A 14,021-nucleotide genomic window follows, 5' to 3' on the forward strand; every position below is an offset into this window, starting at 1 on the left:
AATTAGTGTGGAGACAGAAATTGTGGGCTTTGAGTGCCAGGATGAGGAATTTCTTTGCGTGTTGGGAAGCAGTGGCAGGCGCAGGACAGGATAATAATAATTTAAAGAAAATATGAGTAGCAAGTTGTGGGAGCGGGGAGGGAAGCTTGGTGCTCAGAATAATCAGAACTTTCTCAGTGGACCCAGGCTCAGTGGAAAGAGCGCTCTGGTTCCGTTTATTGCTCCCACAGAGAAGAGAGGAGAGACCCAGAGAGGTTTAAAATTAGAGGGGTCGACAGGGCACAGGGAACTCCTGGCCAACCATCCTTAGGAAAACAAGAGACCAGGAATAAAGAGAACCAGCAGAAGCACCTGGTCTGAGTCTAAGAAACATCAGTGTTTACTAAGCACTTGGTCTCTGGAACGCCTGGCTTTCCAAATACCACATCTTCCCATCCACTCCATCCTGCCACAGGCAGCTACTGTGTCGGGTGCTCAGGGAGCCGGAACCACATGCCTGGAAACCCTGAGCCCCTGCCCGCCGCCGTCCAAGCCGGCCGGCTGCAGCGCAGTTTGTTTGCCGAGGTTTGCATGCACATATTCAGTTGCCCTTTTTTTTCCCCCAGTCCTTTCAGCCGTGTCCCGAAATTCACCCTTAGTGTAACTTCTGCCTCTGCTCCTCCTCTTCTTGGAACTGCCTTTTGTTTGTCTGGCAGCGTTGGTTCTATGGGGGTGTGTGATGATAATAATACGCGGGCTTATATAACCGTCTTCATCTTGCGAGCACTTCGCAGACCGTCGCTAATGAATCTTGGGGCCGGTGTCGGGCCGGGGCGGCTTGATCGGCAACTAGGAAACCCCAGGCGCAGAGGCCAGGAGCGAGGGCAGCGAGGATCAGAGGCCAGGCCTTCCCGGCTGCCGGCGCTCCTCGGAGGTCAGGGCAGATGAGGAACATGACTCTCCCCCTTCGGAGGAGGAAGGAAGTCCCGCTGCCACCTTATCTCTGCTCCTCTGCCTCCTCCCTGTTCCCAGAGCTTTTTCTCTAGAGAAGATTTTGAAGGCGGCTTTTGTAAGTATCGTGCTCTGCTTTTACTTTAAAAAGAAAGAAGACAAACTTTCCTTCCTGTCCCTGTCCTTTTCGTATTATTTATTCATTATTCATCATATTATTATTCATTATATTCTCAGATGATGGAAAGTATGTTTCTGGCCAAAGTCTTCCACCCAAATTTGGTCCCTTGTAATGATAATAAGAGGGGAAAGAGGTTTCTGTTGATAATTAATTCACTTAACAAAATAGTACCCAGGCGAGGTACTGAAATTGGCCACTTTCACAGCATTCTGGTGATGTCTGGCTGTTGATACACACCACACACACACACACACAACACTACACACACACACACACACACACACACACACACACACACACACTCCTTTTTGCCCTTAAGAGGAGCCCTAGTCACCTGGCTTGTTAGACAAGGAGAAATGATGCCACTTTGGTCTTCAGTTTCTCTGCCTTGGGTACTCACAATTTCAATCAGTTGTAATTGTTGAAAGTTTCTTTTCACACTACGAAATAAATCCCATCTTTCAGTGCAGGCTTGAAACTTGCACTGGCTTGGGTAAACTGTACAAAACACTGTAGCTATAGTGGACATGTGAATTTTTATTAAATTTTTCACTGCATAACCGAAGGTTCTAATATTAAAGAAACATGGACACTAACTTTTTAAGCACAGGCAAAACTCAAAGCCCTGTTATCAAACTATGTGTCTTAAAGAGTGCTGAATTAACAGAGTACTCTTCTCAGAGATTATGCTCACTGCTTTGAGAAACTGCTTTTCAACAAGAGGTGAATTTAAAACTCTAGAATAACATGAAGAAAGACACAACTTCTGAATACTTAGCAACTCTGACTTGCTATTTGAACAAGCCAAAAAACAAAGGGTCTATTTTGGGCAATTGTACAATTTGCATTTATAAAACCGTGATTATAACTTGGTATGCTATGAGATACAGAGATTTATTGTTTTAATAAGATTTCAGGTAAGAAAACTAAGAACTATAAATTGGTAATAATGTAGAAAAGCAAGGCCTCTCACTTTTAATGCTGTAAGTGCTGTGATTCATTTGTAAGGCTTTATCATCTTTACCTCTAGATGAATAGATGTGAAAACCATGTATAGTATGTATGTATATGTTAGTGTGTATATGTGTCTTTATCTTAAATTCTTACATTTGTTGTATCTATCTAGTGCTCAGTATGTTATATGATAGTACAACATCCAAAATGGATCAAGTGGAGAAATTTATTTCACATCAACTTTCAGATTGCAATGTTTATTCAGTATTTATTAACACACATGGGAAATATTATAAAATTATGTCTTTTTTTAGATTCTCTTTAAATGATATTTTCCCTTAGAATTCTCTGTGGCTCCCATGAAATTCTAAGGTATAATTAAAGTCAAAAATAAGATTGGATTCTAGTTGCTTTTACCCCTAAATTTAAAAGTGATATTTCAACACTAAATTCTATACTTTACCTAATTTGATTACAAAGATGAACCACATAATCTCAGCATTAGCCTCAAAGGCAAACTCAATCATAATAGAAGGAACACAAGCTTTGATGAGATCTGGATTTCAGGCTTAGTTTGGTCAAACTGAATTAACTGAGCCTTGTGACACACACCTGTAGTCTTAGCTACTCCGGTGACTGAGGCAAGAGGATCGCTTGAGCCTAGAAGGTGGAGACTAGAGTGAGTTGCGTTTGTGCCACTGCACCTCAGCCTGGGTGACAAAGTGAGATCCTATCTCAAAGGAAAAAAAAAAAAAAAAAGAGAGAGACTATTGTAGTGTTCCAGTGAGAACTGCTGGGGGCACTGAGCAGTGTAGGTGGACAATAGGGCGCAGATTCCAGAAATATTTAGAAGGTAGAACATTCTTGACTCAGGGCTGGATGAAGGGAATGGAGGAAAAGGAAACTTTTATAATATTAGTTTTGGGCCTGGGCTACTGGGTAGTTGTAATAGAATACCATAGAACAAGAGGAGGTACTGGTTTATGAAGAAAATTGAGTTAGTTGGAGTAATATCAGGTTGAGATATCACTAAGAGGTTAGACTGCAACGCTGAGTAAAAATAAAAAGCAATTTTTTTAAGCATAAAATTATCATCTGGATGTGGTGGCATGTGTCTGTAGTCCCAGCTACTCAGGAGGCTGAAGCAGGAGGATCTCATGAGCCCAGAGGTTCAAGGCTATGGTGCACTATAATCAAGCTTGTGAATAGATACTGCACTCCAGCCTGAGCAACATAGTGAGACCCTGGCTCTTTAAAAAAAAAATGCTAGATTTTTGTCTTTGAAATTTTGAGGAGATACATAAAGACTGAGCTCTCCCTACTATGTTCTAATGCCCCCCAAGAAATGGTCACTATCTGGACTCAATGAAATCAGAGCTTTAATCTTGTGTCCCTGCTGCCAAATGAATTTTTTTCTCATTAACTTTTCAATAGGAAGCCCATGTCTAGGGCAGTCTTGCCTGTAGCTATGTGTATCCTCAAAGAGAGTAATTTTTACTTCTTCAGAGACTTCAGAAATGAGCAGAGACTAAAGATCTATGAGCTAGTAGAATACTTATTCATAAAAAGCACATATGCATGAAGAAGTAATACTTATCAAAAACAAACCCTTTCCTTAACAGGGATTCTTCACTTCTCTTGAACAAGGAACTCACTCAGAGACTAACACAAAGGAAGTAATTTCTTACCTGGTCATTATTTAGTCTACAATAAGTTCATCCTTCTTCAGTGTGACCAGTAAATTCTTCCCATACTCTTGAAGAGAGCATAATTGGAATGGAGAGGTGGGTAACATTCGCAAATTTTTTAAAGATGACAACTGGAAGAATTTTAACATTTTGAATGAATAGAAATCAATCTGATTAGCAGGCAGGAAGCTGTGACTTTTTAAATCTTGAGGTCTGATTACTTGATAACCCTGGTTTTCTTATACCCTTTCACCCTTTCTGTGCTCAGCACTTAATCTTCTAGGCAAAGCCTCTATCGGATTTCCTGGATTTCAGAGCTGTTACCCTACCTGAGCACTTCAGAGCAAATGCCATTTCTTATAAAAGGGGCTTAGCCCCAGACTTTATGGCTAGTCTTGCAAAGTGGTATAATATTTCTTTCTGGTACGTGAACTGTATCAACACATTTAAAAACAGATTTAAAAAGCTATTTCCACCTCTAAATATAAAGAGCCTTACCACTTATTAGAAAGATAGCATTTGATAACAATCTGAATTTCTTCCACTTCTGATGGCTCACTTAATTCACCAAACTTTGGAAATCATCTTTGACTTTTGAAATGGTGAAAAACATTTCTATTTTTGCTAAAATGCTTTTGCCATAAAAAAAGAAGTGTCCCAAAAAGGAACCGTTAACATCTCAGCTATGCAAAATAATCACCAAATATATACTTTTGAATAAGATGACTGCATCATGGGAAAGTTCATTATTTAAGGAAGGAACAAGATATATTTGGGGAAATTCCCATTAGCACAATTGAAGTATGAAGAATATACTGAGCTTCCATATATGGTGCTGGTCATTCCACATTTAGGTTACTCAAGCCATTTAAACTTGGCTTCATAAGCAAGTACTACACCCTCACAATCTTTTTAGGTTAGCCGACATAATGATTTACTCCCAACTGGGTGCTGCCTGAGCCACTGTGCTTTGCCTCTGCAGTGTTTAAAGAGTGGATAGTTCGCAGCTGTGAAGTTCCCCAGACACCTGAGTCCAAACTGTTGCTGGATTTTGCTTCTTTCTGTGCTCCATGGAAAGCTGGAAGCTCCTCAACTTTCTCTTGGGTTTGGCTTCCTGTTCACATGTTTTCTGGCCCCATGTCAATTGTGTATGAAGTAATAGTCCCACATGCGTGCACCATCCACGATGGCAAGATTTGTGTGGTTCAGCATGAGTTTTCTAATGAGCACACTTTGGACCTTCCAACAACCCTTTAGGAAAAGCAGTTTGGAACCAGTTATTACTTTCCAAGGTGACGGAAGCTAAAACAGAATGTTCTTTTCTCTTTTTTTTTTTTTTTTTTTTGAGACAGAGTCTTGATCTGTCACCTAGGCTGGAGTGCCGTGGTACAATCTCAGCTCATTGCAACCTCTGTCTCCTGGATTCAAGCAATTCTCCTGCCTCAGCCTCCTGAGTAGCTGGGATTACAGGCACCTGCCACCACGCCTGGCTAATTTTTGTATTTTTAGTAGAGACGGGGTTTCACCATGTTGGTCAGGCTGATCTCAAACTCCTGATCTCATGATCCACCCACCTCACCCTCCCAAAGTGCTGGGATTACAGGCATGAGCCACCAGGCCCGGCCCAGAATGTTCTTAAGCAACAAGACTAAAGCCACTTTTAAGAGACAATTAAAGGACAACTGCATAGGAAAAATGAACATTTACCTTACACATCTGTCTAAATGTGTGTATGTGTAAAGTATATAAAAATGCCTCCAATTCACAGTTTAAAAATATCAGTTACTGTTTCAGCATTTTGCTACTGATGAATGGTGCTAGTGTTTTCCACTAAGGACTGTTATTTTAATGACATTTCTCTGCAGCAAAATTTGATGAGTTTACAAAGTTTCAGAGCCAGGAAATGCAGCTTGATTTCTGAACAACGGGGACAACCAAGAGAGTTAAGTTCAATCATCTAGTTGCTTTATAGCATGGATTCCTAAGTGCTAACTGCAGTAACACACTGACACAGAGAGCAAAGCCAAACCAAACTCTTAAAGTACAGCTGTTAAACTATCAAGCTTAACTTCTCGATATATTCTCAACAGGTGAAATTCTGGCACACACCCACACTTACTTGAAGATGGTAATGTCAAATTAATCACCATATGTCCAACATTTTATAGAATTTTAGAGTAAGAAGAGATATTGGAGGTCTTCCAGTTTTACCTTATCCTTTCATTATAGGAACAGAAAAACTGAGACTCATGAGTGCTCTCTCTCTCTGTCTCTCTCTCTCTCCACACACACACACACACACACACACACACACACACTCACAAGCACACACACATCAGAGCTGTACTGAGTCATGACTTACAGAAAACATCCTAAGTCTGACTTAAGCAAAAGAAAGGGATGCAATGATCCACAGCTAGGCCACTGGCTTCCTGGTCCTTTCAAGTTTGTGTGGCCAGCTTCAGCACTGTGGGCTGACAATTTATTATTGCTTGAGAAAACATTCAGAGTCTTGGAGTCTATATTTTTAACCAAAACTTGAATAAACTCTAAAACAAACCAAGGATCCATCGGTGACTCAGATCCTGACTGTCCTTTACAGTGAGGCTCAGCCACCTTCCAATAGTTACTGGGGCCACACTGTGATCCCATAAGATGGAGACAAAGCCCAAGACACAACCCTCACTCTGAGGGATCCTGAAACCTGACCAGAGAGATGAGACCATCCTGCATGCAGGCCATAGAGACGGTAAACTAAGTACCACACTATGTGGCACAGGTTTTAAATGTTATGAGTTCTAGTGACAGGGATTAATGAAAATAGAGGCTGTCAGAAAATGAGATTTTAGCTGATCCCAGAGGGGAGATTAGAGTTTTAATATGTGGAGGAGAGAAAAGTGGACTTTTCCAGATAAAGAACAGAGGAGTGAAAGCAGAGAGAGGACTGTTTATGGGTGGGACCCCAAAGAAGCTGGCCTGAGGAAACATTTCTCCACCCACGCAATGGACCATGGAGCTCCAGTACAGACTTAAAATTATTTATTTTGAGACAGAGTCTTACTTTATTACCCAGGTTGGAGTGCAGTGGCACAATCTTGGCTCACTGCAGCCTTGACTTCCTGGGCTGAAGCCATCCTCCCACCTAAGCCTCCCTAGGAGCTGGGATCACAGGCATGTGCAACCATGCCCAGCTAATTTTTGTATTTTTAGTAGAGACAGGGTTTCACAATGTTGCCCAGGCTGGTCTTGAACTCCTGACTTCAAGCAATCTGCCCGCCTCGGCCTCCCAAACTGCTGGGATTACAGGCATGAGCCACTGCAACGGGTCCCAGACTTACATTATTATCTATTAAAATGTTACTGAAATATGTACCCAAAAAGCTATGTATAAGTTGTTTTATGTTTGTATAGCTATAAATACACATTAGCATAATTCTATTTATACTATTAAAATTTCAAAATAAGTCTCTAAGGATAAACGAAACCCATACACCAATAATACTCTAATTCATATTAATCCTCTTTGCCAGATGATGCTGTTTTGCTGAAACTAAAGAATAAATTTGTTTTAACTAAGTATTCATTAATGAAATTGGAAAAAACATTTTAACAAAAGGAATTTCTATTGCATATTAAGAATTACACCTGTTTATAAGGAACTGTTACAAGATGGCACCTATAGAGAAGAAAGGATCCAGGCAATCAGTCCTCTGGGGTGGAGATTTTGGAGCTGAGAACTGTGAGGGCCAAGTCATCCTATCACCCTTCTCTATTCTGGGAAACAAACAAACCTTCATACAACACAGCAGGAAGTATTTGACTCTCACGTGCATACACATATCAGCAGGAACTTAGGCTGCCTCTGTTCTTTCTTCAATAGCCCATAACAATTAAATTATTATATGATTATACCACACATTATTATTATTTATTTTTTTAAAGACATTCTAGCTCTGTTTCCTAGACTGGAGAGCAGTGGTGTGATCATAGTTCACTGCAGCCTCAAACACCTGGGCTCAAGTAATCCTACCGCCTCAGCCTCCCAAGTAGCTGATATTACAGGTGCACACCACCACACCCAGCTAGTTTTTAAATTTTTTGGTTGAGATGAGGGTCCCACTGTGTTGCCCAGGCTGGTCTTGAACTCCTGGCCTCAAGCAATCCTCCCATCTCAGCCTCCCAAAGTGCTGGGATTATAGGCATGAGCCACCTCACCTGGCCTACACATTATCATTTTAATGATGAGAAATCAAAGTCTACATTTATAAAATTTAAGAAAATTCTGGTCTCATTTCATGAAAATGTCTTTTGATTGCAAATATGCAAGGAAGGTTGTATCTTTATTACTGGTCTAAAAAAAATCAGTCCAAGTAATAATGATTGCCGATGTTTATTGAACCCTTATTTTGTGCTAGGTCGTCTTGCAAGTTTTTCACATGAATGTTTTCATGTAATCCTCACATCAACCCTATGGGGTAGATACCATTTTAAATTCCCATTTGTCAGAGGAGAATACTGAGGCATAGAGAAATTAAGTAATGTGCTCAAGGCCACATAGCCAGTGAATGCCATAGCCTGGTATTCCGGCATCTCATTCCAGACTCAGCTGCCCGGTAGCATATTCAGAACAGTCTCAGAAAAGGTATTCTTTGACATCAGACTGTGCCAGCCTAACCACAGCCAGATACTTTTGACATCACATTCAGATGTAAACTTTCACTGTAGGAGATCATGAGGTGCACATACAATTATAAGCACAAACATGTATATGTCCTCTCAGAACATATTTTACAAGTGGGCATCTGCATGATGCTTCTAATAATTTGTGATATCAGCACCATGGAGACAGGATGGAAAAGTTCTTCTAGAACTCCCCAACCCCCAGGAGGAGAAGCACAGTGAAGCGAGTGATCTAGAGGCCTAATGGGTGAGGTGGGCCACATTGCAGAGGGTGGCATAAAACTAGCGGCGGCGGAGTTTCACTGCTGTTTGGAGTGGAAAGAGGGGTGATGAGAGTCGTGTGGGAGGAAAGTGAATCCTGCAGCACCAGGCCAGCTCCAAGGAGGCACTGCTGCAGCAATCTTGTGGTAGGAGTGATCCATCCAGAGCAAAGCAAAGGACCTGGGGCTTAACCTGACTCGCCAAGGCCAGCTCAGGATAAAAAGAGATTCCAGGCCTATGGAGGGAAAAAATCTGCACCCATTACCTCTGAGATCCCCCCATATGTATACGAAGGTACAACTGTAGTCACCAGTGGAAAAGTATGAAGACTTTAAATGAAATGCTTTATTAAACATTAATATTTACATGGGCATGATCAATATTTTTTAAATGTGAAGGAAATTCTGAGTTGTTAAATAAGAGGTCTCATTTCCTTATTCTATCTTATATTATGTTCTCTTTTATATCATATGCACATTTACATACAGTATGTATATGTCAGATGTTCATGGCAGCAAGATTGCTTCATTTGATACTTAAAACATTAAAATGGGAATTTCCTCATATTCAAAGTGTTCAAATTTATTTTAATCACTTACATTTTTCAGCTGTCAAAAATGTGGAATATAAACAAATTTTACCACTTGGAAATGCTTACTTTGCTAGTCATCAAATAATAGCTTGCTGCAACTTTAAAAGATTCCATGATTCAGCGCGTTTTCCTTTAAAATAGGTCTCCCAACCTGAAATTAGACAGCACTCAACCTTTAAACTTGGAACACTTTGTAAACTTTTAAAAGGAAACTCTTCTTTAATGGTTCTATGAAATCCAGTCAAAGAATGATATGAAATGAATCTAATGGAAAGTCTTTTCCTTGTTGGAGAAGCAGTCAAAATAGAAACTTCTACAAAAGGACCGAATCACCCACAATGCTTCAAAGACTCTTGCGAGTGATTGTAAGAAAATCGGTCTGGATGAAATTTAGAGAATATTGTTCCTAATGATCACCCCCTTTGAGGCTGTGAAAGGGCAACATCTGAAAGATGAGAGGAATTGCTGATAAAACGTAACTGATGGCAATTTTGCTCTTTTCCATCGTAGGTGCTGACGGCCACCCACCATCATCTAAAGAAGATAAACTTGGCAAATGACATGCAGGTTCTTCAAGGCAGAATAATTGCAGAAAATCTTCAAAGGTATTCATCAAATTTTTATCTCTAGCTTAAACCAAGGACCACCTGGGCACTCTATGTCACTTGAAGAGGGGAACATTTCACGGTTGGGGAATTGTTAAGAACTGGCAGAAACTGAAAAGTCAATGGTCCTCTACCTTCCCATCACATTCTCATTCTTGTTGACTGAGAGAGCTAAAAGGGGCCTTCCACGTGGTAGAGCCATGTCACGAAATCAGTCCTAAGAAATGTCAGAAGAACCATCTGAAAAATGGGAATCTAAACAATCATATGACTATTGACATATTATGAGCTGCTCAGGAAGGAAGCTCAGGGGAATTAGGGGGCAGTGTGGTAGGCCCGCCATGCACAGCCATCCACAACATACTCCACAGTGTCAGGAGTGAAAGCTGTACAGATATCTGATTTATTCACAGCTCGTCTTCACAGTTTCTTTCCTTGGCCAGATAAACATTAGTGCCAAGAGCTTTCATGGAGCCAGGGAGAGTTGTGGCAACCCATCTCAGCAATTTCACCTTGGTGGCAAAAACATTTCTAGGGTTTGGGTTCATATGAGGGTACAACCTCATGAGGCTTTTTCAAATGTCAACTTTGAGAGTTGCTCCCTTTCACCCCTAAAAACTAATGCAATGAAAATGTTCAGTTCCTCTCTATTTCATTAGTCACTCTTCAGAATCATTGCTATTTGCTTGATTTTTTTTTTCTTTTCTTTTTCTTTTTTTTTCTTTTTTTTTTTTTTTGAGAGGAAGTCTTGCTCTGTTACGCAGGCTGGAGTGTAGTGGTGTGATCTTGGCTCACTGCAACCTCCGCCTCCTGGGTTCAAGCAATTCTCCTGCCTCAGCCTCCCGATTAGCTGGGATTACAGGCGCCTGCCACCACGCCCAGCTAATTTTTGTATTTTAGCAGAGATGGGGTTTCACCATGTTGGCCAGGCTGGTCTTGAACTCCTGACCTCAAGTGATCCACCTACCTCAGCCTCCTAAATGGCCGGGATTATAGGCGTGAGCCACCACAACCAGCCTGCTTGATTTTTATTCTAAGCCTTCCGTTGGCCCAAGGTGGCTTGGAATAAGTCCTGTAATCACCAAAACTTTCATGAACCTCACCTAAAAAGCAACGTCTTCAAGTCTGGCCCGAATTTCAGGTTTGCCTTTTGAGGGTTGTTTTATCCAGCTTCTCTTTCTAATACTTATCGAATTAAACATTTTTGCCTTCATTCTACAAGTATTACGTGAAGAAAGTGAATGGTTCAAAGTGTATAAGACAGGTTAGTTCTTTGACATAAAGTTATAAGCATCAGCAGTTTTTCTAGAATTCTTGGAGCTTTGTCTGAAGATGGCATGGGGTATTAACCCCCATGGCTGATTACAGCACTGTATCAGATGCTTGTCATAAACGAGCTGAATCCACAGTAAGAGAAGATAAGTTGAAAGTTAGGTCTCCTTACTTCAAAGCTCTAACGTAAGAAGGAAATATTCTAAAACAGTAACTTCAAAAGATAAATGTTTAATAATTCAATGAACAAGTTCATTGAATAACTAATAAGTTCAATGAACAGAACTGGAACTTCTCAAGAGTTATTTATCTCTTGAATCAGGTTGTGAACAATTTTCTTTGTGAAACTCTAGCCTGATGCATCAATTTTTATGTTGGAAAAAACAAGGTTGGCCTTCAGTGCCATACCATTCAAAATTAACCGTAGAAGAGACTGGAAAACCCCTGATACTACAAGAGCACCCTTCATCTTCTGAAGAGGTCCCTGAGGATCTGATTTCTCAAAGTATCTTTCTTAGTTTCTCTTATGCTATGAAGAAGCCACTTTTCTTTCTTTCCTTTTTTTTTTCTTTTCAAAACGAACAGAGTCTTCCTTTGTTGCCAGGCTGGAATGCAGTGGCACGATCTTAGCTCACTGCAACCTCCGACCCCTGAGTTCAAGCAATTCTCCTGCCTCAGCCTCCCAAGTAGCTGGAACTACAGACACGTGCCACCACGCCTGGTTAATTTTTGTATTTTTAGTAGAGACAGGGATTCACCATGTTGGCCAGGATGGTCTCGATCTCTTGACCTCGTGATCTGCCAGCCTCAGCCTCCCAAAGTGCTGGGATTACAGGCGTGAGCCACTGCGCCCATGAAAAGGCCACTTTTCTACAATGCCATGTTGTTTGTTATCTAGCTGGTAATCTTTCATGTTGCACTTTTCTCCCCCTAATGTGTGATTTCACCACTGTGTTATGTCTTCTTCACTTCTCAGCACATCTTTATTATGGGAAAATACAAGTAAGTGTCTAGGCTGGGCACAGTGGCTCACGCCTATAGTCCCAGCACTTTGGGAGGCCGAGGTGGGTGAATCAGCTGAGGTCAGTGGATCACCTGAGGTCAGGAGTTCGAGACCAGCCTGGCCAATATGGTGAAACCCCATCTCTACTAAAAATACAAAAAATTAGCCGGGCGTGGTGGTGCGCGCCTGTAATCCCAGCTTATCAAGAGGCTAAGGCAGGAGAATTGTTTGAACCTGGGAGGCGGAGGTTGCAGTGAGCCAAGATTGTGCCATTGTACTCCAGCCTGGGCAACAGAGCAAGACTCTGTCTCTGAATAAATAAATAAATAAAATAAGTGTCTAATGTTGGATCATTTAGATTCACTTGCTCAAATTTAACATACAGAACATTTTTCTTGAAAATCTATGGATTCTGTATGAGACCTGGCTTCAATCTACTTTTTTTTAATCTTGGGGCTGGAAAATTCAAATTTAATGTTTGGCTTCAGAGATCTCTGCCCCTTTTCAACCAACTCCAGGATTTGAGCTGAATTAGATAAGCAGACGAGTCACTTCCCACCACTACCTCTGTATTTATATATCCACAATCCTCCTTCTAGTCAATTTTATGGAAAGAAATGGATGTTTTTGGGTATGTGCTTGGACAATCATGTTTATAAAATAGGGACCACTTTACTGGACCTTAGAGTTTCAAAATGCTGCCCTGTGCATTTTTGATTGCCTCTCTGCTCATATCATTTGGGTATAAAGTTCTTTCATTTAATATTCAGAACTGCTTACCTGTAGCTCATTGAACTTGGCATCACCTCTAAATTACATAACCCAAGAGAAAGTTCAAGGAGATACTATAAGCAAATCTCAGAAGCTGCCCAAGCATTTCCTGTCTTTCAGATTGCCAGATTGTCCCTTGTTCCAAGGAGAGATAGGTTGTATTCACATATGAGAAGACACCAAAAGGACAATTAAATTTCACAGCTTGGGGGAGATTTTGAGGGTTCTCATCAAAAATGTTTACACCTATGGAACAGATTGCTTTTGTGTATGTGTGTGAAGCCTGGTTTTCAGCTTAAAATACACCTGCCAAAATATGAATGGCCTTTATTGTACCTTCTGGACACTAATATTGCACTGTTGGACAAGGTTTGGTGCGCACAGATGGGATAACTTAGAACAGCAACTATGTTGTTTTTGAGAAAATTAAGATTTTTCCTAGCCTTGTTAATACCTATTTGGGATGGAAAATTTTATTATAAGGATGGCTTAGCTGTGCCTGGCACTTTATTTTTAATATTATTTTAATTATTAAGTTAAATTTAGTATATTAATCTAAATGTAGGTGGTTTTTAAAATTGCCCGTAGACTGTAACAGTAAACTAAACCTTTTCAAGGAATCAATATCAGATGTGGACCCTAAAACTTATCCTTGTCTTGCTTTAAGTGCATATTGGATACCAAGACAATGATAATTTGTCTTGCTGCAGAATATAGAGACCTATATTTGGGGGTGCTAAAAAGTAGACTCTTTTCCTTTGTGATTCCCCTTACATATTTTGAAACATTTCTCATTGAAGAGGACAATTTATTACACAGAATATCAACTCATTTAAAATTAGGTATTTGTTGTAAAAACCATATAACAGTCGCTTAAGAGTTTTTTTTTTTTAAATCACACACTTAACCCAAATCAGTTGGTCTTTTCTTTATAAGTATATACTAAGTAGAATCATAGAAAATTGCTTCTATTTAACTATTGTTGGCCTACAAAAGCAGTGATTTCATAGGGTATTATCTAATATTTTATAAAATTGGAAACATGGAGAATGTACAATGTTTATTGTTTTGTTTTCACCTACCT

General features: G+C 40.3%; 1 protein-coding gene across 32 annotated transcripts in view; it reads left to right on the plus strand.

Moving 5' to 3' along the window:
* The window catches only part of SULF1 (sulfatase 1), a 194,132-nt gene that overhangs the window by 25,297 nt on the left and 154,814 nt on the right, over positions 1-14,021 (plus strand). For 11 of the 32 annotated variants that reach the window (NR_182051.1, NR_182053.1, NM_001412835.1 and 8 more), the window contains 2 exons: positions 3,688-3,849; positions 9,797-9,891. The gene's annotated coding sequence lies outside the window, so the exon portion shown is untranslated. Of the gene's footprint in view, positions 1-769; positions 1,049-3,687; positions 3,850-9,796; positions 9,892-14,021 lie in introns of those variants that run through there. The other 21 variants (NR_182050.1, NM_001412841.1, NM_001128204.2 and 18 more) reach the window with 3 other exon arrangements.

Source organism: Homo sapiens, chromosome 8 (assembly GCF_000001405.40).
Source record: "Homo sapiens chromosome 8, GRCh38.p14 Primary Assembly".
NCBI classification, from domain to species: Eukaryota; Metazoa; Chordata; class Mammalia; order Primates; family Hominidae; genus Homo; species Homo sapiens.